The 27,386-nt window shown below is 39.8% G+C and overlaps 2 protein-coding genes across 12 annotated transcripts in view; one reads left to right on the top strand and one right to left on the bottom strand.

Moving 5' to 3' along the window:
• Positions 1–20,055, top strand: part of SMURF2 (SMAD specific E3 ubiquitin protein ligase 2) — a 120,026-nt gene extending 99,971 nt beyond the window's left edge. For 3 of the 4 annotated variants that reach the window (XM_005257585.4, NM_022739.4, XM_047436546.1), the window contains 8 exons: positions 734–837; positions 4,615–4,729; positions 6,339–6,517; positions 7,344–7,481; positions 10,633–10,753; positions 14,536–14,737; positions 15,999–16,074; positions 16,390–20,055. In XM_005257585.4, the coding sequence (XP_005257642.1) occupies positions 734–837; positions 4,615–4,729; positions 6,339–6,517; positions 7,344–7,481; positions 10,633–10,753; positions 14,536–14,737; positions 15,999–16,074; positions 16,390–16,489 (1,035 nt within the window). In that variant the 3' untranslated portion in view covers positions 16,490–20,055. Of the gene's footprint in view, positions 1–733; positions 838–4,614; positions 4,730–6,338; positions 6,518–7,343; positions 7,482–10,632; positions 10,754–14,535; positions 14,738–15,998; positions 16,075–16,389 lie in introns of those variants that run through there. The other variant, XR_007065425.1, reaches the window with a different exon arrangement.
• A 4,335-nt stretch (positions 20,056–24,390) lies between these two features.
• Positions 24,391–27,386, bottom strand: part of CEP95 (centrosomal protein 95) — a 31,185-nt gene continuing 28,189 nt past the window's right edge. For 4 of the 8 annotated variants that reach the window (NR_133644.2, XM_047437013.1, NM_138363.3 and 1 more), the window contains 3 exons: positions 25,589–25,735; positions 25,225–25,296; positions 24,391–24,734 (listed from right to left, as the gene is read on the bottom strand). Coding sequence is in view for 7 of the 8 variants with exons in the window: in XM_047437013.1 (XP_047292969.1) it covers positions 24,558–24,734; positions 25,225–25,296; positions 25,589–25,735 (396 nt within the window). In the remaining variant the exon portion in view is untranslated. Of the gene's footprint in view, positions 25,297–25,588; positions 25,736–27,386 lie in introns of all 8 variants that reach the window. The other 4 variants (XM_047437012.1, XM_005257779.4, XM_047437014.1 and 1 more) reach the window with 1 other exon arrangement.

Raw genomic sequence — 27,386 nt, 5'->3', positions numbered from 1 at the left:
GTGCTAATTTTTCTCTCTCTCTCTTTTTTTTTTTTTTTTTTTTTTTTTTTTGAGACGGAGTCTGTCGCCAGGCTGGAGTGCAGTGACGCAATCTCAGCTCACTGCAACCTCTGCCTCCTGGGTTCAAGCGATTCTCCTGCCTCAGCCTCTTGAGTACCTGGGACTACAGGCACACGCTACCACGCTCAGCTAATTTTTGTATTTTTAGTAGAGATGGGGTTTCACCATGTTGGCCAGGATGGTCTCGATCTCTTGACCTCGTGATATGCCCGCCTCAGCCTCCCAAAGTGCTGGGATTACAGGCATGAGCCACTGCACCTGGCCTCTTTTTTAAAAAGAGACAAGGTCTTGCTCTGTCACCCAGGCTGGAGTGCAGTGGCATGATCATAGCTCACTGTAGCCTTGAACTCCTGGGCTCAAGCAGTCCTCCCACCTTAGCCTTCCAAGTAGCTAGGACTACAGGTGCATGCCACCATGCCCAGCTATTTAAGAAAAAACTTTTTGTATAGACAGAGTTTCACTATGTTGCCCAGGCTGGTCTAGAATTCCTGGCCTCAGGTGATCCTCCTGCCTCAGCCTCCCAAAGTGTTGGGATTACAGGTGTGAGCTACTGCACCTGGCCAAATTTCACCTTATTTAGACTTGAGTTTTTTGGATGGATTGGCAGGGAGAGATTAAGTAATAGGCTAAAAGGACCTAATAGTAATAGGGTATTAAAAATTATTTTTTTCAGGAATCATATCGACAGGTCATGAAAATGAGACCAAAAGATCTCTGGAAGCGATTAATGATAAAATTTCGTGGAGAAGAAGGCCTTGACTATGGAGGCGTTGCCAGGTATGGACTTGCTTGCCAGCTTATGACATATGGATCTTTGTACTTACAAATTTAAGCTACTTCCTGTGGTGTAACTTTCTCATCGACATTTATTTTTTGTTATTCCCTAATGTTTGTATCACTGAGGATATCCTAATAGATATATTCATAATGAGGTTAGGGTGGCACTGCTACCGGACAAGTATTCTGGAACTCCCCAGTAGACCATCTGAGTCCCATGAGACTGCAGGCCCTGTGTTTTCTCCATCTCTCTCTTTAAGTACATTATTGCCTCTGCTTTACATTGTCAGGAACAGTTTTGAGATTTAAATGATATATAACCTGAACTGAATACTGGTTCTCTTTGCTTCCATTTGTTATGCCTTTTTTCCTTGTTAAATGAATGTGTATGCATGCATGTGTGTATACACATGTACATATCATGATGGTCCTCAGAATGTTTCAGTACAGAAGGTAGAATGCTTCTGCTACATTTGTAACTCACAGGTCAAGTCAAATTAATTTTCTTTCTTTTTTTTTTTTTTTTTTTTTTTGGAGACAGGGTCTCCCTCTGTCACCCAGGCTGGAGTGTAGTGGCGTGATCTCAGCTCACTGCAACCTCCCCATCCTGGGCTCAAGAGAGCCTCCCACCTCAGCCTCCTGAGTAGCTGGGACTACAGGTACAAGCCACCACACCCGGCTAGTTTTTGTTTTTTTTTTTTTGTAGAGATGGGGTTTTGCCATGTTGCCCAGGCTATTCTCGAACTTCTGAGCTCAAACAATCTGCCTGCCCCAGCCTTCCGAAGTGCTGGGATTACAGGTGTGAGCCACCACACCCAGCCAGTGATTTATTTCTGATATTATATTTACTACAAGAATTCTTTTCTATGTGTGAAAATTCGTTTTATATAAATGGAGAAACACTGTAGCTCTGTATTGAAATGTTCCAAGGATCATTGTGGTAATTCTGCTTTCCCTAATCTTAAATCCAACCAAAATTATGTTTTCAATAATTCCCATTAATTGTTATTTAGCATTACATGTGTGTATTTGTAGCCTTATTTTCATTCTGTCACCTTTTAAACCTACGGATGGATAGTTTCTTTAGTGTGGATTTTTAAAAATAATCCCTTGTACATCATACTTAGGACTTGACAGTTTCTGTGGAATTTGTATTACTTACTCATAACTAGAGTGAATGTTTATTGGGAACACTTCATCATCAACTACTGGTGGCATCTAAGTACTATAATTATATGTATAGATCAAATAAGTAGTTTATTTTATTTATTTAGTTTTTTAGAGACGGGGTCTCACTCTGTCACCCAGGCTCCATGGAGTGCAGTGGTGTGATCATGGCTCACTGCAGCTTCGAACTCCTAGGTACAAGTGATCCTCCTGCCTCAGCCTCCTAAAGAGCTAGGACTATAGGCACATGCTTCCATGCCTAATTAAAAAAAAAAAAATTTGGCCAGGTGCAGTGGCTCACACCTGTAATCCCAGCACTTTGGGAGACTGAGGTGGGCAGATCACGAGGTCAAGAGATTGAGACCATCCTGGCCAACATGATGAAACCCCGTCTCTACTAAAAACTAAAAAAAAAAGATTAGCTGGGTATGGTGGCGCACACCTGTAGTCCCAGCTATTCGGGAGGCTGAGGCAGGGGAATCACTTGAACCCAGGAGGCAAAGGTTGCACTGAGCCGAGATCGTGCTACTGCACTCCAGCCTGGTGACAGAGTGTGACTCCGTCTCAAAAAAAAAAAAATTTTTTTTTTTTTGGTAGAAACAGGATCTTGTGTTGCCCAGGCTGGTCTCAAACTCCTGGCCTCAAGTGATCCTCCAGCCTCCGCCTCCCTAAGTGCTGGAATTACAGGCGCGAGCCACCATGCCTGGCTCGTAGTCAGTTTTTTTTGTTGTTGTTGTTTTTGAGATGGAATCTCACTCTGTCGCCAGGCTGGAGTGCAGTGGCGCAATCTCGGCTCCCTGCAACCTCTGCCTCCTGGGTTCAAGCGATTCTCCAGCCTCAGTCTCCCGGGTAGCTGGACTACAGGCGCATACAACCACGCCTAGCTAATTTTTGTATTTTTAATAGAGACGGGGTTTCACCATGTTGGCCATGCTGGTCTCAATCTCCTGACCTTGTGATCTGCCCGCCTTAGCCTCCCAAAGTGCTGGGATTACAGTCATGAGCCACCGAACCCAGCCCAGTTTTTTGTTTTTTAACCTTACTACTGTCAGGGTTTGAGCAGAATAAATGGAATGTGACAGTGATCTGCTTTTTCTGAACTTTATTCCATAGTAGAATCTCAAAGTAGTTGAGTTCTGCTCTTATTTGTGTTCTAAATACTTGGTAAAACAAAACAAAAATTTGGATTTTCTTTTTAAAAAACACATACACACACCAAAAACACAAGACACATCAGATGAGTGTTATGTTGGGAAGGCTGCTTATGTGGAGACGTTACTTCTTTTTTTAATCTCTAGAGTAGTTTTTCAAATGTTACATAATGGTAGTAATTTAATTTAGACTCCATCACATAGAATTTTGAAACAGTTTCCTTTAACTAGTTTTAATACTATTCTGCATTTGCTCAAAAATATTATTCAATCTGTTTAATCCATAATATCAAAATATATCATTTAAATAACCTTCCCTAGCCAAGGAATGACAAGAATTAAGACTAGAACTACATCTCTTAAGTCCTAGACTAGTGAATTTCCAAAGTGAGTAACAAATTATCTTTTATACTTTGAAAAATTTGAAGGTTTTAATAAATTCAAGGTGGAAGTACTTTTTATTCCAGGTTTTAAAAACATTGATTTACATTGAAGTCAAGAAGTGGTATGGAACATACCCAAAGAATGCACGTTTGCCCTTGAGTCCATACCTACACCAAATGCCTTGCAATCCTTGCCCACTTATATTTTTATCATGGTATGTTTCAGGGTTTATACAGTGAATGATAATGAAATGAATAATGAAATGTCCTTAATACTACAACAAAATATAGCCTTGTCCAAAATGAAGAGTAAATCAATACTATATTATATGTCTGTATAAACTGGTCGTGATAGGAGTAGACCAGGATAATAGAGATGACGTGGACTTTTTTTTTTTTTCTTTGAGACAGGGTCTCTGTCACCCAGCCTGGGGTGCAGTGGTGCAATCTCAGCTCACTGCAGCCTCAACCTCCAGGGCTCAAGCAATCCTCCCACCTCTGCCTCCCAAGTAGCTGGGACTATAGGCACTTGCCATCAACCTGGCTAATTTTTGTATTTTTTGTAGAGATGGGATTTCGCCTTGTTGCCCAGGCTGGTCACAAACTCCTGAGCACAAGCGAACCACCTGTCTTGGCCCCCCAAAGTGCTGGGATTACAGGTGTGAGCCACCGTCCCCAGCCTCACATGGACATTTTGAAATAAAACCATATTCTTCCTTTTGTTTTATGTTTATTATGGATTACAAATTTATTTGGCAATTAAAAGTAACAGACCACTGGACCGTATCATCTCGTGAGTAGCTGAACTGTTGGATAATACTTTTATACTCTTTGATGCTAAAATATAATAAAATTGCCTAAATTTTGCGTGAGATGTTACTTCAATATAATAGAGTTTTTATATGCTATTTGGGTACGGTAGATTTTTCCAATGTGATCTTATATAACTGTAGTTAGTGCTTTTTTGCCTTTTATTAATTTAAATAATTATTTGCTAAAATGATTAGTTAATGACATATCTTAATAAAAATGTATACATTAACAAAAAAATTCCTTGGTCATATCTTGTTTTCTAGGGAATGGTTGTATCTCTTGTCACATGAAATGTTGAATCCATACTATGGCCTCTTCCAGTATTCAAGAGATGATATTTATACATTGCAGATCAATCCTGATTCTGCAGTTAATCCGGTATGATTTGAAGTTATGATGTGAATTGTGACCAATAATGCTTTTCATGTTTACATGTTAATGTAGTTTATTATATAGAAATTATTTGTCCTTGTCTTAGTTGTGCCCTTTGACTCAGCAATTCCCCTTCTATAAAATTTTCCCAAGCAGATGATTATGGATATATGCACCAATTTGGAAACAGGGATGTTTATTGTTTATAGTAGCACTCAACTGAAAACAACATAGTTGTCTTCAGGAGCGGGGACTGATTAAATTATGACATGAAGCAGAATAATGCAAATGATTAAAGGCATAGGTTCTGGAATTAGAAAGACGTGTCGTGGTCTCATCACTTACTAGCTTTGTGACCTTTCAGGGCAAGTTCATGGACTTAAGCTTCAGTTTTGTCATTGCTAATAAATACATTTGTACCTCAAAGAGGGGTTATGAGAATGAAATGGGACCCTGCACATTAAGCACTTAGCACAGTGCTGTATGTTATTCACTCTACAACTCTATCAACTACATTACTAAGCACTCAACAGAAGTTAGCAGTTATTACTAATGTATTGTTTTTATATTGTCTTTCCATATAAGGGCATACTATACAGCCACTAAAATGATAATGTGGGATAATAGTTAATGATATGGAAAGATGGTGTTTATGATGTGTTAAGTGAAACGAAGGTTATCAAATAGTATAATGCAACTTTGGTAAATATATATGTTTGTGTGCGTGCGCGTGTGTTACTTTTAAAAAAGAAACAAAAACAAGATAAAAGGTTTAAAGACGAGCTTAAAAGATTACTTAGTAAATAGAGAGGTAAAAGAATTTAAAAATACAAACATCTAACAAAACAATCTGTGACGAAAGACCAAATATATATAAAAGGGTAGAAATGTTAGATTTGTTTCAAGAAGTTATTTAGGGAGGATTTTGAGGTGAAGGTTCTTTTTGGAGGGCCCACTACTGCCCCTGTAGTAACAATAGCCCAGACTCATTGACTGCTTATAACATGCCAGGTCCAGTTCCATGGGTTTCAAACATCACCTCATTTTACTCCTCATAGAGATGCTTTTTAGATACTGTTATTATCCTCATATTTCCAGATGTGGACAGTTAGTCTTACGGGGGTTAATTTGTCCATATGCCATTGACTGGCAGAATCGTGATTCTAATTCAAGTCTGACACCAAGTCTGTGCTCTTAAATCTATGGTGTTTTGATGTTTAATTTCTGGTTAGGTCAAGGAAGTAGGGAGGTTTAGGATTGAAAGATTTTTTTTCATGACAAAGGGCTCAGCAGGAGGTGAGAGAAGGAAGAGAAAAGGATCTGCAAGTAGTTGAATGAAGCTCCGGGACCATAGTTTGGACTTAATTTCTAAAAGATAAAATTTACAAAATGACTGGCCCCTGCGAGAAGGGCATATTACCCTGTGTAATATGCTGTTCTCTGGTGATCTAGAGACTCTGGAGCATGCCCTAGAGAAATACTCCCTCCTGACTCTATTGAAGAGTAAAAATTTTATGCTTATTCTCAAAAAGATTAATGTTGCTGAAATATTTCATTTTTATTAAAATTTTCCTGGGTAGTGCCTAACGAGTATATATACTGTTTTCAATTTCAGGAACATTTATCCTATTTCCACTTTGTTGGACGAATAATGGGAATGGCTGTGTTTCATGGACATTATATTGATGGTGGTTTCACATTGCCTTTTTATAAGCAATTGCTTGGGAAGTCAATTACCTTGGATGACATGGAGTTAGTAGATCCGGATCTTCACAACAGTTTAGTGTGGATACTGTATGTATTGAGTCTTCTATCTCTTCATTATAAACTCTGAGCTTTAAAAAAAAATATGTTTCAAAACTGATGTACTTAAAAAAATTACACAGAAAATATTGAGTGGTTATTTGAGTGATAGGATCGCATATGATTTCCCCCTTTCCTGTAGCTTCTTTATACATTTCAAATTCCTTAAACTTAGCAAGTGTTACTACTTTAAAAAGGAAAAAACAACTAGTATATTTCTATTTTTAAAAGTACTTTATATAATTGTTTCCTCAATGTGATACAAATTCTGTTCCAAACCTGCGTGTGTTAGAATAGCAAATTCTTGGCTGCTGTTGCTTTTAATGAAGTGGCGATTGTTGGAACCGTACTTTTAGAATAAGAACTAATTGTTGAATTTAAGCTAAGAACTGATTCTGTTTTGCAAGAGGTCATTATTTTGTGAAGATACACTGGCAATGTTTATTTTTTATAAAGTATACAGTAGCTTTCTCACTAGGGATACACAGGCACTTGGCCCCTTGGAGTACAGTACCGAGTAGGGCTCTTCAGAATGCCAAATGTAACTGAAATTGTCCTATATTGGTGGTTCTAGCAAGGCCCAGCTTTGACCAAGGCTCTTTCTCATTACTCAGGAAGTTAAATGTTTTCTGTGTTTATGAAGGTTAAAGCTCTTTGACTTTTCTGTCCAGAAAGAACTAGGTGGTATGGAAGCAGAATCTGACCTCACATTTGTTATATTATAAAATGATCTTAGTTTTATCTCACCAATTAATACATCTATAGGGTCTGTATTTTAGGTTTCCCAGTTACATATCTTTTCCTCTTTCCTATCCAGTGAGAATGATATTACAGGTGTTTTGGACCATACCTTCTGTGTTGAACATAATGCATATGGTGAAATTATTCAGCATGAACTTAAACCAAATGGCAAAAGTATCCCTGTTAATGAAGAAAATAAAAAAGAATATGTCAGGTAAACACTCCTGTGTTCTCAAGGCTGAATTTTTTAAAATGTTCTAGAATGTTAGTATGAACAAACTTAAATATTTAGATAGTACTACTTAGTGTTACAAAATCCGCTTCAGGAGAATTTAGTGGCTTATTTAGAACAGACATTTTATTATTTCTCACAATTCCATGGGTCAGGAAATTGGGCAAAAGAACAACATGGATGACAACACTGGTGTTCCACAAGATGTCAGCTAGGCCTGCAACACCAAGATGGCCTCTTCACTCATAACTAGGATAACTCAAATGGCTGAGGGCTAGCTGGCATGGCTGTTGACTGGGGTCACTGTCTGGGGCCTTGTTCTCATTGTTGGCTGAGTTCCTTGGTTCTCCCTATGTGATATCAAAGGCCATTCCCTCTCTCCATGACCACTCCCTCTCCCCATAGCCACTCCCTCCCCCCATAGCCACTCTCTCTCCCAACAAGATAGCCAGACTTCTTATGGGGTGGCCAGCTTTCTAAAGCTCAAAAGCAGAAGCTGCTAGATCTTTTTAAGGCCTAAGCCTGGTCCTGGCCAACATGACTTCTGCTGTCTACTTCTGGTTAAACTGAGACAGCCAGCCCAGTTTCATCATGGAGGAGGAGCTGTACAAATGTGTGAATACCAGGAGATGTGGGCACTGGGGCCACATGTGGTGTAGCTATCACAGGTGGCAATTCAGAAGGGCTTTTGTGCTTTATCTTACTAACACTTAGCCTGTTTATAAATGAGCACATTGTGAGTTTAGGGATAAATGTAAATAAATGTTTTTCAGATTTCATAAAGTAAAAATTGAGGAATTTTTATGTATTGGGCTAATTTGGCTTATGAGAAATAAAAAGTCCTCTAAATATAGAACTATGGTAATCAGTTTTGGGAGTTTGAACTTGAACTTTATGTACACAGAAACTTGCATGATATACTTTCTGTGTATAGATTATGTTCCCAAATCTTACTAAAATGTTTCCTAGTTTAAATATGAGGTCCACTTGATTGGAGTGAACACTGGCATAGCTTTTCTGGAAAGCAGTTTGATACCAGCAGCATGTGCCCTTCAACTAGCAGCTCTGTGTTTAGGGCTCTTCTGCAGAAACACACATGTAACTGAACGAATACGGGGAAAGACGGTCAATTAAATGCTACTTGTGAAAAAAAGTTACACTACTAAAATGGTTTTAGAGAAGAATGATTATATTATACATTCAGCAGAATATTATGTGGATATTTAAAAGTGCATAAGCTGTCAAATTTTAAAAGTAAGTCTTAGAAGAATTATGTAGGAACAAAATCCATGGTTTTTTTTTTGTTTTTTGTTTTGTTTTTTTGGGTTTTTTTGAGGTGGAGTCTCGCTCTGTTGCTCAGGCTGGAGTGCAGTGGCAAGATCTTGGCTCACTGCACCTCTGCCTCCCAGGTTCAAGTGATTCTCCTGCCTCAGCCTCCCGAGTAGCTGGGAGTACAGGTACGCACAACCACACCTGGCAACTTTTTTTTATTATTAGCAGAGATGGGGTTTCACCATATTGGCCAGGCTGGTCTCAAACTCCTGACCTCGTGATCTGCTTGCCTCAGCCTCCCAAAGTGCTGGGATTACAGGTGTAAGCCACCGTGCCTGGCTGTTTTTTTATGATTATACTGAAGATGTTCAGGAGGCTGCAACCAAATAAAGTTTTTGCCTAGGATGAGGGAGTGGAGATGATGCGACTGGAAATAGGAAGGAGAAAGAGGGTAAAAGAATGGACTTTCATATTTTACTGTCTCCATAGTTAATGTTTGATTTTTTTGTTATATACGTAAAAAGTATGTATTACGTTTCTACTTAAAAAAAATGAAAGAACAGGCTGGGTGCAGTGGCTCATGCCTGTATTCCCAGCATTTTGGGAGGCCAAGGTGGGTGGATCACCTGAGGTCAGGAGCTCAAGACCAGCCTAGCCAACATTGTGAAACCTTGTCTCTACTAAAAATACAAAAATTAGCTAAGCGTGTTGGCAGGCACCTGTAATCCCAGCTACTTTGGAGCCCGAGGCAGGAGAACCGCTTGAACCTGGGAGGTGGAGGTTGCAGTGAGCTGAGATCGCACCACTGTATTCCAGCCTGGGTGACAGAACGAGACTCCACCTAATATAAATTAAAAATAATAAAAAAAGAACAAATGAGAATTTCCTAAGTCTTAGCAGTGTCTCCTTTTCAAGACCTCGTGTGTCCTACTCAGTCCCTGGATCCCACTCTTCAGGGTTCAGTCGTGTTTACAGCACGTAATAATCCCTTGCCAACTACAGTTATTAGATTAAAAATTCAAAGAAAAACTTTTACAGTTACACAGTTTTGCTGTCCCCTTAACCCAACAAACAAAAATACGGTCCTCCAAAGGATATAATGTTAAGTAACTTATTTCTTAAAGTAGAGAACCATTTCTCCAAATTTGGAAATGTTAACAAATTTGACAGATGAGTAAGTTCTGTGATGCATGAGATGGAGAAGTTTTCTTGGGTAGATAAATAAAAACAATTCACTTATAAATCGTACATTCACACAATAGATGTAGTTTAGTGCATTTTTTTATTGGTAAAATTACATCTTCCAGAATTTTTATATCCTCTAGAGAACAATGATTATTTAATCAAAAAGTGCTTGCTATTGGCTTTTACTATTTATTCTTCTCATTTTTGGTATGAGGATTCTCTACCTCCTCTTCTCCCGTAGGCCTCCCTCAAATAGAAACAAAACACCCAACACATTCAAATTACATTTGCAAGTAAAATCAGAAAAATAAGTCATTTTTGAGTGAAAGAGCTCTTTATTCTAGTTATTGGCATGTATGCTGTAAGTTTAGAAAGAAATTTCATCAAGACTCAGCTCTAGTAGACGTCCTGTTTCCTGGGAGCTTCTCTGATTTGAAGGGTTGCTCTGCTGATGCTGCTTTTGTTAGTAGTTTACCACTTTTCATCAACATTGAACTGTGTCACACCTCAGGGTTCATTTATCCCCATTAGTCTGAGATTTATTGTTAGACTTGAGGCTAAACCGTTAATGTTAGATGCTTGTAAGATGCGGTGTTGCTAAAGTAGAGATTTATAATAATAATTACCAGATCTGAAAATACATGTGATTATACGAAATCCTGCCGAATGTTTACAGGCTCTATGTGAACTGGAGATTTTTACGAGGCATTGAGGCTCAATTCTTGGCTCTGCAGAAAGGATTTAATGAAGTAATTCCACAACATCTGCTGAAGACATTTGATGAGAAGGAGTTAGAGGTTAGTGCATTAGTATTATAACATCACTAGTGTAACAAGGAAGGATTGGGAATTATTTTGTTACTTAGTTTTAGAGGAAAGCATATTTCTGGTGCTTTCTAAGTTTCATGGTTCTATGCTTGAGAATTCTTATTCACAGGAAAAGTCTTTCATGCTTTTGAAGGCCTTTCATGCTTTGGAATTTCTGTGAGTGAACAATCTGTCTCTCTCTCTCTTTTTTTTTTTCTGAGACAGGGTCTCACTCTGTCACCCAGGCTGGGGTGCAGTGGTGCAATCATGGCTCACTGCAGCCTTGACCTCCTGGGCTCAAATGATCCTTCAGCCCCTCAAGTAGCTGAGACTACAAGCATGCACCAGCACCCCTGGCTAATTTTTTTGTTTTTTTTGGTAGAGACAGGGTTTTGCCATGTTTCCCAGGGTGGTCTCAAACTCCTGAGCTCAAGTGATCCGCCTGCCTTGGCCTCCCAAAGTGCTAGGATTATAGGCTTGAGCCACCATGCCCAGCTGTGAGCAGTCTCTCTTATATTGTGAAAATTTTTAATTTATTTTTCTATCCTGTACTTTCTTGTTTTAAACAGATTTCGTGACTTATATGTACATTCTTCCAATATATGTCTATTCCCTAACTTAGTGGTTACTGATTTAGTTAAGTAAAACCTCATTAATCTACCATTTTGAAATTTATTTGGGTAAGAGCCTACTCTGAATTAGTTTTACACTAAGCTTGCAAGAAAGCATTTGATAGACAAGATCATCGAGAAAATAACTAAAACACCTAGGATAAATTGAATCTAAATGTCTCTCTCTTTTTTTTTTTTTTTTTTTTGGAGACAGAGTTGCCCAGGCTGGAGGGCAGTGGCACTGCAACCTCCACCTCCTGGATTCAAGTGATTCTCCTGCCTCAGCCTCCCAAGTAGCTGGGACTACAGGCACCTGCCACCACGTCCAGCTAATTTTTGTATTTTTAGTAGAAACGGGGTTTCACCATGTTGGCCAGGCTGGCCTGGGACTCCTGACCTCAAATAATCCACCCACCTCGGCCTTCCACAGTGCTGGGATTACAGGTGTGAGCCACCGCACCTGGCCTCTAAATGTCTTTAGATTAACGGCCATACTAAACAGTGAATAGTTTTTTGTTTCCTTTTAAAGCTGGCCCTTAAACACCCCAGGTTTTGTAATTAAGACCTTAAACAAATGCATCTGAATTTCCTACTGAACAACTAAAAAACACGAGGTTTAATTCTATTAAAGGTCCCAAATTTATTTAGTAGTTAGGGATAACACAAATATTTGAAGTCTACTAATAATTTGAAACATGATTTTATTCAATGCCTTCAATGTCCTTTCTAAATAAATCTGTTAATAGACCTGTTAGCAAACAAATCTAAAAAGGTTGGTTTTACTTAATACTCTCCCCATTCCTTTTGTGATTGAATTGTTCATAGTGAAATAGCCAGAAGGAAGTAGTTAGAAGGAGAACATAGCAGGAATGCCGATAAGGTTGAAATATAATGCATTTTCATCTCTTTATACAATAAACGAGGATTTGGCCTTCTAACTGCCATTCCTCTGAAGAAAAGAATTTAGGAGGTGTCTTTTATGTCATTAAATACACCCATAATCCTTTTCGGATAACCTCCTCCCTGTTCAGTGTGGTGTTAATTCAGTGAACCCTGTAGAAGCTTTGTTGGAGATTTTATTTCAGAACCCCATAGAAGCCTTACTGGAGACTTTATTTGGTAGGGTTAGGATTTTTAATATAGTTTCTACTGCTAATGGGTCATGAAACTTTGTTTTTCTTCTCTTTTTTCTTTTTTTTATTTGTGGAGACAGAATCTCACTCTGTCACCCAGGCTGGAGTACAGTGGCACAATCTCCACTTACCGCAACCTCTGCCTCCCAGGTTTTCAAGCGATTCTCGTGCCTCAGCCTCCTGAGTAACTGGGACTTCAGGTGTGCACCACCATGCCTGGCTAATTTTTGTATTTTTAGTAGAGATGGGGTTTCACCATGTTGCCCAGGCCGGTCTTGAACTTTTTAGCTCAGGCAATCCACCTGCCTCTGCTTCCCAAATTGTTAGGATTACAGGCGTGAGCCACTGCACCAGGCCTGAATCATTAAACTTTTTATTTTTATTTTTTGAGATAGAGTCTCACTCTGTTGCCTAGGCTGGAGTGCAGTACCATGATCCTAGCTCACTGTTAACTCTTATGCTGAAGTGATCCTCCTACCTCAGTCTCCCCAGTAACTGGTACTACAGGTGTGCACCACCACGCCTGGCTAACATTATTTTGGCTTTTTTTTTTTTTTTTTTTTTTTTTGGAGACACAGTCTCACTTGTCCCCCAGGCTGATGGGATCTCAGCTCCCTACAACCTCTACTTCCTGGGTTCAAGCGATTCTCATGCCTTACCTGGGATTACAGGTGCCCGCCACCACGCCCGGCTACCTTTTTGTATTTTTAGTAGATACAGGGTTTCGCCATGTTGGCCAGGCTGGTCTTGAACTCCTGACCTCAAGTGATCTGCATGCCTCGTCCTCCCAAAGTGCTAGGATTACAGGCGTGAGCTACCACACCCTACCAATTTTTAAAGACAATATGTATAACATTTATTTTAGCATTGTATATATTAATCCTGGGTGTAATTCTATAAAATACAGGATTTGCAAGTTATGTTTTATAGTATACATGGAATTCACTGCTATAAACAAACATGTTAGATTAGTATGGTGAGTTAGTCTTGAACCCTAGGGAGACATATTAATGATAGTATAAAATGATTTGGATATAGTTCATCTGTGTGACCCTCCATCAGGATGTGTTTAGCAGAGGTCTGTATCAATGTGCTCATGTATTTTGTGCTTTAATATCAATTTAATATTATTAAGCAAATGTAGGCCAGGTGTAGTGGCTCACACCTATAATCCTAGCACTTTGGGAGGCTGAGGCAGGCGGATCACTTGAGGCCAGGAGTTGGAGACCAGCCTGGCCAACATGGCGGAATCTCATCTCTACTAAAAATACAAAAATTAGCTGGGCATTGTGGTGCATGCCTGTAATCCCAGCTACTTGGGAGGCTAAGGCAGGAGAATCACTTGAACCCGGGAGGCAGAGGTTGCAGTGAGCCTAGATCATGCCACTGCACTCCAGCCTAGGAGACAGAGCAAAATTCTGTCTTAAAAAAAAAAAATTATTAAGCAAATTGTATGACTCACTTATTCAACACCCATTTCTGAAGTTTCTGTGCATTATCGGTTGCTTCCCCAGGATGTAGTGAAATGGATGTTACTACCATATTACAGCAGAGGAATTGATTGAATTGCCCTCAATCAACAAAGCTAATAGGTATTGAAACTAGTAGATGATGCAGGTCCAAAGAAGGCACATATCTGTATTTACTCTTTGGGTCTCAATTTCTGTCCATTTTTTTTAAAGCTTTATAATTTTATTATGAACTTATGAAACATTCTCAATTGTTTACCTGGTCAAGTCTATCACAGCTGTGGTTCTCAGACCCTGGAGAGGGAGTTTGCAGTGAGTAGATATCTCTGGAGCTTTTTAAAATATAGATCCCAACTGTCACCCCAGGTGCACAGAATTAACATCTCTGAGCCTAGGACCTGGAATGTCAATTTGAAAAGCTTTTCAGATGATTCTGATGTGCATCTTTAATTAGGAACCACCAAATGACAGCCAGCAGTACAAACCTAAAGTTCTCTTTTGAGGAATTTTTGGTCTGGCTGTGGTTTCCACAGGTTCATTACTGTGTACTATTTTCACAGCTCATTATTTGTGGACTTGGAAAGATAGATGTTAATGACTGGAAGGTAAACACCCGGTTAAAACACTGTACACCAGACAGCAACATTGTCAAATGGTTCTGGAAAGCTGTGGAGTTTTTTGATGAAGAGCGACGAGCAAGATTGCTTCAGTTTGTGACAGGATCCTCTCGAGTGCCTCTGCAGGGCTTCAAAGCATTGCAAGGTAACAGCCTGAGGTGCAGGCAAGCTGGGCAGCGGGTGGGGGCGGGGCTGTCAGCGTGGGGTCTGTGGAGATATTTTGTAAACCATGTGCTTAGAGATTCTCTTTTTCACTTCTTATCTGTGACTCTCACATTGTGATACCTTCTTCTCCCTCCTTTCTTTTGTTCCCTTCCCAAGAGCCTTTTCTGCGGGCTTCTCTGATTGTAGTGAGTGCCGCATGCTAGAGACCGTACGTGGTGATGCTCTGCCTTTGTTTTCTGGTCACCTTACTTTTAATTCTGTTGCACATTCCTGTAGGGAAGTCGTTCACTTCCATGTTCACATCTTGACCTGGTGAAACGTTTACCTGCCTGGGATGCCTCTCCCCTCTACTTTTCGTTCTTTCTCTTATTAGACAGAAGCAGCATGGGTCATGGAAACCATCTGTTCGGTCAGAGCATTTTAATTACTGCATGGCATCAGACCATTTGTTTACAACCATATTCCTTTTTTAAGAATGGTTTTCTGTGGAATAAGCTGGTTAATTTTGGGAGGAGCTGGTAATATTGCTAATGATTGTGGTGCTTCACTGGGTGGCAGTTGCTTCCTTTACCTCTTAAGCACTTCATTTTCAAAGCTGCTGGTGATGAATAAGGACACACAAAGCGACACTGGTACATAATTCGACAGTGCTGCCCACAGCGCATGCGCTGAAATCCCTGGGGGGAGAGCGTGCTTTCAGCTGTGCTGCCCTTCTCTGTAAGGAGAGCTCCTCATCCTCACACTTCCCAGATGCATAAAGTGAAGTTGTATTTCTGCTACATGTATTTATATGGGGTGCCTGTGCGAACTGAAATGGATTCTATAGACGGCTCTTTTGCTGTCAGCCCAGTTTGAGTCATGAAATCTAAATTTGCATCAGGTCGTCATCTTTTTGAATGTGTGCCTATGTATTTTACCTTGGATTTGCCTGATTACTTTTCTTCTCATGCTTTTGGGATATTGACTTTCTATAAAAGATAGAAATTGAGAAAGGGATTTCAATCTTGAGTTTTTTCTCAAATGGAAATGTGAACCTATTACGGAATCTAAGCCTTATCCAAGGTTAATTCTGGCTCTTAAAACCCAGATGCTTTTCCTGCTGCCCTTTGGTAGTATGTGTGGATTCATTAGCATTCCCCTATCCCCAGATCCTGTGGTTAACTTACCAGTTTTATTCTTAAGATTTTGGAGACTAATGCACGCACCTGCAGTGATTTCATCCACATTTCCTTCATTTGCAGGTGCTGCAGGCCCGAGACTCTTTACCATACACCAGATTGATGCCTGCACTAACAACCTGCCGAAAGCCCACACTTGGTAAGGTATTTTTGTAGCTGTATTCCCCATTCCATGTACATAAGTGTTAGTTCCAAACAGATTTGACTTTTTATTTATTGTACTTACTAGTGTTAAATGGGCCTTTAAAGGGAATGATAAGCAACTTAAGTGATTTAAAAGTTAAGATTATTCGGAAATTGGTAGGAAAACCCAAAAGTGGTCATCTCTGTTTTAGAGAAATACCTTTTAGTTTTCTGTGTGACACAGAGTGATGTGGCTATACTGGTATACACTTGCTAGGCCAGTTTACTTATTTTGAATGAACTGTATAAAATTTGATTTGCTTATTCACAGCTTCAATCGAATAGACATTCCACCCTATGAAAGCTATGAAAAGCTATATGAAAAGCTGCTAACAGCCATTGAAGAAACATGTGGATTTGCTGTGGAATGACAAGCTTCAAGGATTTACCCAGGACTCTATTTATACAACCCTGACTGACAGCCTCCTTTCAGCAGAGTTTCAAAGAATATGCTGAAATACAGGAAAACACTCCCCCCCCCCCCCTTTTTTTTTTTTTTTTTACATTTTAGGACACTGTGAGGGGAAAGGACAATTTTGAAATTCCTTTTCAAGGAAAAAAAAGGTCTTTATGCTTTGCCATGAGGCCACATTCAGCTGCTATTTAAACTTAATATCTTGAACCTAAAGAATGCTGACTTTTCCTACATTTCCAGAGTTAGGCAGTATTCTACACTTAAAGACTACTACTATTTTTATAAAAGGTAATCTATTCAAATTTCTTCACAGATTTCAAGTCTCTCAAACATCAAGACAACTTCAGCAGTCGGTACAAGTCACATTTCATTTTGATTGAATACATGATCTTGAACAGCTCCTGTACTTGCTCTTTGTAAAAAAAAATAAAATTATTTTGAATTATTCTACCTTTGTAAACAATTGGCTAAAAGAATCATCTTTAAGAAATTAAGCCATTTACATGTTTGTGTTTTTCTATAGCAGAGCATTATATTTTGCATTATATGTTTCAACCTAGTCTAAGTGGGTCTTTTTTACATTTTTCAAGAACGGATTTCCTGGAATACAGCGATATAATTTTGGTTGTCAAATTCCTAATGCAACCATTTAGTCTAAACTTAGTCATTTATTTGTGACAATAAGATGTGTTCAGGGGCTCCCTGTTTTTAAGAGACTCTTTTAAAAAAAAAAAAACCTAATGTTTTTATCTTGAGTCAATATGATTAGGTATTTTGGATTTACTTTTAATCTTAAAATACTGCATTTTTATAGCTTCTCAGAGCATGTGGATGGGATGGGATTTTCGTTATTTTGCTGGGTCAGCTTATCTTTAATATATGGACTATTCCTATAAACCAAAGTCTCTGACAAGTGCACCTAATTTATATTGTATTTTAACTACAGTGTAAGTTTCCATTAACAAAACCATCCTAAAGCGTTAACTGCTCATAATTTTAATCAGCTACAGTTATGAAAAAGGAAGAATTTTGCTCTAAAGATTATTAATAAGCTTAGAAAATCCTGCTTTTACCTAACAGAATGAAGTGGGGTTGAGGGGCGGTAGTATGAACAGTGATTCTAACTCTATGGCGTAAATTACTTTGAAGAGTTCATTTTGGAAGTAAGGGAATCCCGCTTCCCTTGGTGTTGAAGATCTGCATCTGATTTTGAAACGTCCAGATTTAGCTTTCAAGGTGCGTGCATGTTGAATGATCCAGAAGCAACGAAAACTCTGGGGTGAGGGATTGAAAAAATCTGAAATCACAGTTGGATTTTTAAATTCAACCATCAAAAATATGTACTATCAGTTTTTTTTTACATTGATGTGAAATAAGCAAATTTTCATGATAATTAAGCTGCAAAATTTAAAGTTATCAAGTAAATAGGTCCTCTGTGTTCTGTTTCATGTGATGGAGTGGGTTTCAGTCTGTGTTCTTGGAGCCAAAGGGTTCCTCAGGGGTGCCTCAGGAGTAATGGTTTAAGAGAAGAGGGGCAATGAGAGGGAGCGAGGGGGAAGGCCTAGTTGGTATTTGAGCAGGGGCCTTAGGCTCCATATCCCCACCCCCTTTACCCAGAACAGCCCATTTTTCTTATGTATATTGGAATTTCAAGTAAGCTTTCATGGGGTGCAGTGGGGCGGGGAGGAATGGATGGGATAAAAAAAGTGGAGATTTTGCTGCTTTAAAAAAGTTGAGAACTACTTGTGTAGTTTTTAAGTATTTTAATGTATTTCATTTGGCCAAATTCAACTGCCACAAGCAAGCTAGTCATAGTTGTAACTGTGCAGTGGTAATATGCTTATGCCTACCTTTTTCCTCTCAAACAATTTGTTTTTTTTACATTGCATTCTGAGTACTGAAGAGCATCTTGAAATGTATGGAAGTGGTTTCTATGCTATTTGATAATCAGTAATGTTCAGCTGTCATGATAGTACTTTACTGGTTGCAGACCCATCTCTCTTTTATATTAAAGCACTAGTGCAGTTTATAATTGTGCCTACTTTTAAAATCTTTCAGTAAAAAAGTACATAATGAATACAGAAATCATAACTGACAGGGATACAGTAATAATGAAATGCTACTATCACTTATTTTAATATACAATATAAAGCAGGCAAATACCATTGCTTTTTGAGTGCCTTTTTAACTTTATACTAATGACTTAATAGAGCTTTAAAAGAAAGAAATTGGCTGGGCATGGTGGCTCACACCTGTAATCCCAGCACTTTGGGAGGCCGAGGTGGGCGGATCACCTGAGGTCAGGAGTTCGAGACCAGCCTGGCCAACGTGGTGAAACCCTGTCTCTACTAAAAATACAAAATTTAGCCGGGCATGGTGGCGCACTCCTGTAATCCAACTACTTGGGAGGCTGAGGCAGGAGAATTGCTTGAATCTGGGAGGCAGAGATTGCAGTGAGCCGAGATCGCACCACTGCACTCCAGCCTGGGCGACAAGAGTGAGACTCCGTCCCCGCCCAAAAAAAAAAAAAAAAGAAATTACTCTCCATAACAGTCTATGTTATCACCAACATATATAAAAACATGATTTAGATTTCCATTTCAAAGTTACATTACCCGATTACTTCCAAATAGGTGCTAAGCAAAAACCCCCAATGTATTATTGAACCATGGACTTGCACCTCATGTTTAATGTGAATATTTATTTCCATGTCCCTCTTAACTGGTTTTTTCTTGTCTTCCCTCTAGCTGTATTGTTATTTCAGATATGTGATATCTGTTTTCATACTCTTGCCTTTCCATCATGAATGCTTAGTTATGAACAGAGATTCCTTTGTAGAGCTCATAGGCAGTACAGAGAGGTAAGTCTTGCCTCAGAGGGCCTTGTATCTTGGTGTAGTTTTTAAATAGTGCATAGTGTATAGTGTATAGTGTACATTTTGTTTTGCACATAGTTTGTTGCCCCGAATGGGTTTTTTACCAAGCCTTTTTTTCTTTCATGTATTTACAGTCCGGAGCACAAGATTCTCTTCTTTCAAATACAATGTAATTCGCTTTACTTTACAACACTAAATCTGGGCTTTGAATTTCCAGTGCATTGGACTGATTGGATTGTTGGGAGTTAGAGGCTGTTCCAACCATCCTTAGTTTGGGAGAGTGGCTCCTTCTGCTTGTTTTCTAAGCGTACAGTCAACGGGTGCCATTTGTGGTATTTAACATGTTAGGATGATTGTTCCAAATGCTGAGTTGTTTTATTTCTAGATGTAATTAGTTCACTTTATGTAATATTCTTCTCTCAGACTGACTTTAAAAACAAAGTTTTATCATTTTCATTGTATTTGTATTTATTACAGAGTGTTTTAGCTTTGATATTCTTTGTATTTTCATTCATTTGTTACATGAGCTTTATCAGTAACATCTGTATAAATGGTTTTTAAAAATTAACTATGTATGTGCCCATGCCGAAGTCGAGCAATAAAATCAATGCTGTTTGCACTGTCACAGCATCAACGTTTTTAAAGAATATTGAGTTTGTAATGAATCGTTTTGAAAACATTTATGGTTGGCTCTATGGAGGGTGACAACATGAGTCACAAAATGAAAAGTTCAAGAACACATGCCATCCTGAGTTGATGCCTCTGTCATGTTGCAGAGCTCAGCTTTCTGTCTCCTCGCAGAGCAGGGAAGGTGCCCGTTTTCTCCGGCCGTGGTGACTGCTCAGTTGGTAGTACCTGTTGGGGGTACCGCATAGGTGGATTTCTGAGGGGGGTCAGGGGCTAGTGGGGAAGAGCATCTTGGTCCTGTCACCAGTCTGCAACCATCTTTGCTATAATACATCTCCGCTCTGTAGGGCAGGCCTATGACAGGGGCTCATATTTGCCAGCCCTACCTTGGTATGTCGAGCAGTAAAATTCTCAAAATGAAAAGGAGAAATCAATTGTATTTTTTCTAGAAGCTGTGGATTTTAAGGTTTATAATTCACTACTGTATTAATGATAGTGGACTAAAGTCCAGCTAACTCTATGGATAGAAAAGGAATGAATATGGTCTGTGTAAGTCTACACAGCATAGGGTACAACAGAAGGGAACACCTGGGAAATGTGTAAGTAGTAGCAGTGTATTAAAGTTCAAAGGGTGAGCATGCTTTTGTTTATATGCTTTAATATTCTTTTGAATATTTTTGTTTTGCTTTGTCCCTCATTGCTGTGTTTACTGGTTTTATCTAAAATTTATAAAGTTTTAGTACATTAAAGATTTTTGGCCGGGTGCAGTGGCTCGCGCCTGTAATCCCAGCACTCTGGGAGGCTGAGATGGGCGGATCACGAGGTCAGGAGTTCAAGACTAGCCTGGCCAACATGGTGAAACCCCGTCTCTTTACTAAAAATACAAAAATTAGCCAGGTGTGGTAGTGGACGCCTGTAATCCCAGCTACTTGGGAGGCTGAGGCAGGAGAATCAGTTGAACCCAGGAGGCAGAGGTTGCAGTGAGCCAAAATCACGCCACTGCATTCCGACCTGGACAACAGAGCAAGACTCTGTCTCAGGAAAAGAAAAAAAAAAAATTAGGCCAGGTGCTGTGGCTTGCGCTTGTAATCCCAGCACTTTGGGAAGCCAAAGCAGGTGAATCTCTTGAGCCTAGCTTGAGACCAGCCTAGGCAACATGGCGAAACCCCATCTCTACAAACAATATGAAAACTAGCTGGGCGCAGTGGCACGTGGCTGATAGTCCCAGCTACTGGAGGTGGGGCTGAGATGGGGGGATTGTTTGAGCCCTGGGAGGCCGAGGCTGCAGTGAGCCATGATTGAGCCACTGTACTCCAACCTGGGCAACAGACTGAGACCTTCCTTGTCTCAAAAACAATTTTTTGTTTTTTAGTATTATAATAGTCTACAAATTATCCAAGTTTGATTTGACTAATGATCAGAAGTTTAACCTGAAGTTTGTCCCTTCATTGTAATGAAGGTTAACCATGTTACCCACTGCATTGATTTGTACTTCATATACCAAATGCTTACTATATATATATATATATATATATATATATACACACAATAAGATATATGCAACAGAACAAGAGCCTAGTAACAGGATAAAGGAGGTAATCACGCAGGAGAAGTGTTACTTTACATTCCTATGTTAACATTCGTAGCAAACTAGACAGACCAGATTTTAAATTTTACTTAAAAGGTATCTGCCCTAAATGTGACTTGTCTGCTGCTCATTCAACAAATATTTACTATGCTCCTGCTACATGCCAGGCTCTGTACTAGCTGATAGCCATATAGCTTTGCATGGTGGTTAGAAAGTGAACTTCCAAAGTCATGCTTCTAGTCTGTGTCTCACTGTGGGCCAAGTTCAAACTTAAGTGCTCAAAGCTCAATTTATGTACAGCAAAGTCAGTCATGATGGGAGCACATGAGTAAATACCCACCTCAGCAAGGCCCTGAATCCCAGACTTGAATGTGTGTTTGTGGTCTCACTGTGTTGTCCAGGCTGGAGTGCAGTAGCTATTTCACAGGCGCAGTCATGGTGCACTGTAGCCTGAAACTCCTGGGCTCACGTTGATCCTATGCCAGCCTCCCAAGTGGCTGGGACTACAGGTGAGCACCACCACGCTGTGGTGCAGTCTGTGGGATTGGCAAGGGAACCTAAGATGTTTCTCCTCCCCACTTAAGTATTCTTAATGCTTTTTTTTTTGGTAGGAGTCTTGCTCCATTGCCCAGGCTAGAGTGCAGTGGTACAATCTCAGCTCACTGCAACCTCCACCTCCCAGGTTCAAGCGATTCTCATGCCTCAGCCTCCCAAGTAGCTGGGATTACAGGGTATGCGCCACCATGCCCGGCTAATTTTTATATTTTTAGTAGAGATGGGGTTTCACTAATGTTGGCCAGGCAGGGCTTTTCATTAATTTTAAATATTGTCTGGTTAGTCCCTTATGATAGATGAGGCATTTAGTTCTAATACCAAGCACCTCACTCTGTAACACCCCCCACAGGACTTTCCAAATGCATGACTGTGATGAATCTTTCCTGGGCTGCTCCACGCTGACTGGCTTGATGCACACAATCCACAGCACTTGAATCGCACTGTCCTCTGCTTGCTAAGCTAGTCTGGTGAAGTGATCTTTATTTGCTTTTGATTTTTCAAAAATATGTTGTCTCCTATTTTCTGACCTTTGCTGAGCAATCCTATTCCTTCCCTGACCAATTCTCTCATAAATTCTTTCTCTTGTTGTTTATTCCTGGTTACTTTTTAGCTTGGTAAAGAGCACCAGTTCCCACCAATCACCAGAACTAGCAACTTCAGTCTTCCTAAAATATTTTACATTTAAAAAAAAATCATAATAAAAGCATCGTTAGGCTTGTGTTAACAGATCTAATGGTATTATATAATCTACCACTCAAGAGTCACATCTGCCATGCTTCCGGATCTTTTCTGTATCATATTTATATTGCATCATATGTATAATACCCACTCATACCATGTTTTTTTCTATAAAACTGCGTATTTTGTAGTCTAAAACTTTTTTACTCAGTATTTTATGGCTATCTAGATCTACTTTATCTTCTGCTTAACATTTTTTAGAACTTATGTTCCAGCTCTTGCGTATCTAGCCTCATCTTGTGCATTTCCTGTCCTTTCCATTCACCTGTGCTTGCTGAATTGTCACAACACATCACAGGGGTCTGTATGTCATTTACTGTGCTCCAGACACACCCAGTCCATCAAGCCTTTCCCCGCTGGAAGCTCCCGCCTGCCTGGTGGCCCACCCTTCTGCCAGTTTCCATTCCAAGAGCTCAGCACTTGGAACCACAGCAGTTGATCCAGATGTCTTCTCTCTAGGTCAGTTTTCACTGCTTCAGGCCTCCTGGCCTCTCATCATACATACACTCATCCGCACAGCACTCTCTATGCTCTAATGGAAGCCTCTCTCTGCCACTCCCTGGCTTCCAAGTCCCCATATCCTCAACTGCTCTGAAGCTTCCTCTAGCTTAAAAGAAGTGTAGCCTTCCCTTTTCATTGATGACGCCGCCCCCAAGTGGGTTTTTTTTCCTCGTATTCCTCCATACCAGATATGAGGCTGGTGCACTCTTGCCCACTTGAAACCCATCATCATGCCTCCTTCCCACCTCAAGTCACTAATGCGTCTTTGAATGACAGCCTGGCTTTCCACCCTTTATCTATCTATCTCTTCTCACTGCTATCTATCTATCTATCTATCTTCTGCCAACCAACAGAAACCATAATGCATTTTTTATTATTTTTTTGAGAAAGAGTCTCACTTTTGTTGCCCAGGCTGGAGTGCAGTGGTGCAATCTCAGCTCACTGCAACCTCCACCTCCCAAGTTCAAGCGATTCTCATGCCTCAGCTGAGTGCCACCATGCCTAGCTAATTTTTGTATTTTTAGTACAGACAGGGTTTCACCATCTCTGTACTAAACCAGGGAAACCAGGTTTGGCCAAGCTGGTTTCGAACTCCTGACCTCAAGTGATCCACCCGCCTCAGCCTCCCAAAGTGCTGGGATTATAGGCATGAGCCTCTGCACCCAACTGCCGTAATGCATAGTCTCTCATCGTCCAGCCATGTTATGAAGTCTACACATACATGGTATTGTCAAGGTTCTCCGAGGCCCACCTCTGATAACCACCCACCTTTCTTCTCTCATGAATCAGAAATAATATAGTATTTTTTTGTCCTCAAGTGCTAATTCTTAATTAATTATTTTTGTTGACTTAAAGCAACAAACTTCAGGAGCTGGCTGCTCACACAAGGCTTGTTACTTGCTTTAGCACAAATACGACTAATGATTATTTTCCCCTTTTCAGGTGTCAGGTCATAAATTCAAAAGCAATAAGCTTTTAGAAAACAATTTTTATTTAAAAAATCATAAAAAGTACTGGAATGAAAATACAGGTAAAGCATTTGAAAATTATTTTTCTGGCTTAGACTGTTTACTGGCTCGATTCTAGCTCTGTCCTGGTAAAGGCCTCCAGAACCTTCACCTACTATTATCAAGTCTGGCCTCATAGGGAGGGACTTTTACTGTACTGAAAGGAAGCCAGCTGAAGCCGAGATCTGAAGCGCTCAGCTTCCAGTTCCCGGAAGAAAACATCATCATCATTCTGTGTTATCATGTCCTGCAGCTGCTGAATTTCCTTCTCCATCTTAGATCTCAGCTCCCTCTTCACCTTATGTAATGTCTGAAAAAAGAAGGCATGTCATCCCGCTGTTCACAGCATTTATCCAGGCCCTCATCTATTGTTCCCTCTCCATCTTCCAGCTAATCAAACTCCTCCAAAATTTTCAATAATCTAGCAACAGCAGCTCTTACAGAGACCTAACTAAAGTTAAAATCATAGGATAAAAATGTCTTGGGTCATAGATGGATTGCCTTATTAGTCTTCTCTCCATTCCCTTTACAGGTATAATACATTTGGTTTTCTACTTCCTAAAAATGTAAATTAGTCATGTGTCACTTAATGATGGAGATATGTTCCAAGAAATGCATCATTAAATGATTTTGTTGTTGTGCAAAATGTCAGTGTACTTACACAAACCTAGAGAGTACAGTCCACTGCACACCGGGGCTATATGATACAGCCTATTGCTCCAACCACCAATGTACGAGGTCCCTTGCTGAAAGAAACATTGCCATGCAGTGCATGACTTGGCTTCTATCTTAATTATTACCTGGGCCTGAGATTTCTCTCTGGCTTTAAGTTCTTGATGTTCCTGTGATATGGCTTCTGCCAGCAATGAAAACTGTTTATAGGAAGAAAAAAAACAAATATTATATTTAATGTTTGTAGTCCAAATGTAACATTTCTTAATGTTCACAGGCTTAAAATCATTTTAATGGAAATAGGGAAATATACTGTACTATGGTCAGGTATTATTTGATCTTAAATTTCAATCTTGAAATGGGGTCCTCTAATCTGTAGAGTGCAAACTTCAGTTAACACAAGGTTTATTGTCAACAGACTAAGCAAGTTTTGCCACAAGGGCAAGTGGTCAGGACTAAGCACAACAGCGTAAGCAAGTGCCAGGAGCCCACCTGGTCCTTATAGTAGTTCTCCATGGAGTCCAGTTCATCCTGGTGGCGTCTCCTTTGTTCATCTCGCTTTTCTTTGGCATAGTTTCTTAGGTCTCGTAATCTTTGCTTTTGAATGTTTAAACCTTCTTCAAACAGTTTCTTAAATATCTGTCAGTTATTTAATCGTAAAAATAGTCATTGAGGAATATCATTTTGGCCAACTAGAGGTATATACTGATTGTATTTCCCAAGGTTTTTTTTTTTTAAATACTAGTTTTATTCAGATGTTTTGACATACCATAAAATGTACCTCCTTTTTCTGAGACAGGTTATTGCTCTGTCACCCAGGCTGGAGTGTAGTGGGGCAGTCACAACTCACTGCAGCCTTGACCTCCCAGGCTCAAGCAATTCTCCCACCTTGGCTACCCAAATAGCTGGGACTATAGGCATGTGCCACCACGCCTGGCTAAATTTTTAATTTTTTGGAGAGATGACGTCTCACTATGTTGCCCAGGCTGGTCCCAAGCAATCCTTGCACCTCAGCTTCCCAAAGTGCTGGGATTACAGGCGTGAGCCACTGAGTCCAGCCTTACCCTTTTAAAATAAATAATTCAGTATGTTTTATTATACTCAGTTGTGCAACCATCACCACTACAGAACATTTTTACCACCCCAAAAAGAAACCGTATACTGACTAGTGCTCATTCCCCCTGTCCCATCCTTAGCAGTCACCAGTCTGTACTTTCTGTCTCCATGGATTTGCATATTCTGGACACTTCCTAAAAATGGAATCATGTAATTCGTGGCCTTTCGTATTTGGTTTCTTTCACTCCGCATGTTTTCAAGGTTCATCTATACTGCAGTATGTATGAATACTTCATTCCTTTTTATTGCCAAGTAACATCCTACTGTATGAATGAATGCACACTCTTTATCCATTCATTAACTGATGGACACTTTGGGTTGTTTCCCCTTTTAGGCTATTATAAGTAATGCTATGAACATTTGTGTTTTTTGTGTGATTATATAGCTAGGAGTGAAATTGCTGGGTCATAGGGTAACTCTATATGACCTTTTGGTAACCTTCTGAGGAACTGCTAGATTGTTTTCCAAAGCAGCTGCACCATTTTACAGCCCCAAGTTCTCCACATCCTTGCCAACACTCGTCCTCTAACTGTGGTTCTGAGTCGTATTTCCCTAATGACGAAGGTGTTCATTATCTTTTCATGTATCACAGAGGTTCTTTACAACCTTCAGAAAAGCAGTGTCAAGCAGCCATGTACATAGGGTAAGAACGCCAAGAGCAGAAACATGCCACACCTACACATGTACATCACTGAGGAGGGGGAGTGATCATTTGGGGAGGCCACCGGAAAACACACTGCTCAAAGGGCTTGGATATGCGCACTTGTCCTCCCTTCATCAGTGTAAATTCTGGATAGAAAAACTGGTTCTGACGGCGACGCATTCATGAGCTACAGACAAGTTACTTACGCTCTCCTCAAAGCCTTCCTCTAGAAATATGTCCAAGTCTTTAGTAAACTATAATTACTAAAATATTTTACAGATGAAATTTATTGCTAGCTTGGGATCTCAAAAGGTTAATCATTTCACAGCCTGATTAGGATGACATAGCAAATGTCATCCTTGTGGAAAACCCCTCACAGCACAGCTGGACACTAGTCCTGATTTTATGTGGAATGCAAGGTCATGTTATCACACTAAATTTGTCTCTCACATGTTCCCAAACCTCTAAAGTAGTTTTACTGGAGAAGTACCTGTTATGTGTAGGAGGCAGGGAGGAAGTAAGACTTCACAT

This window comes from Homo sapiens, chromosome 17 (genome assembly GCF_000001405.40).
Source record: "Homo sapiens chromosome 17, GRCh38.p14 Primary Assembly".
NCBI lineage: Eukaryota > Metazoa > Chordata > Mammalia > Primates > Hominidae > Homo > Homo sapiens.
This window is presented reverse-complemented; position numbering and strand designations above follow the sequence as displayed.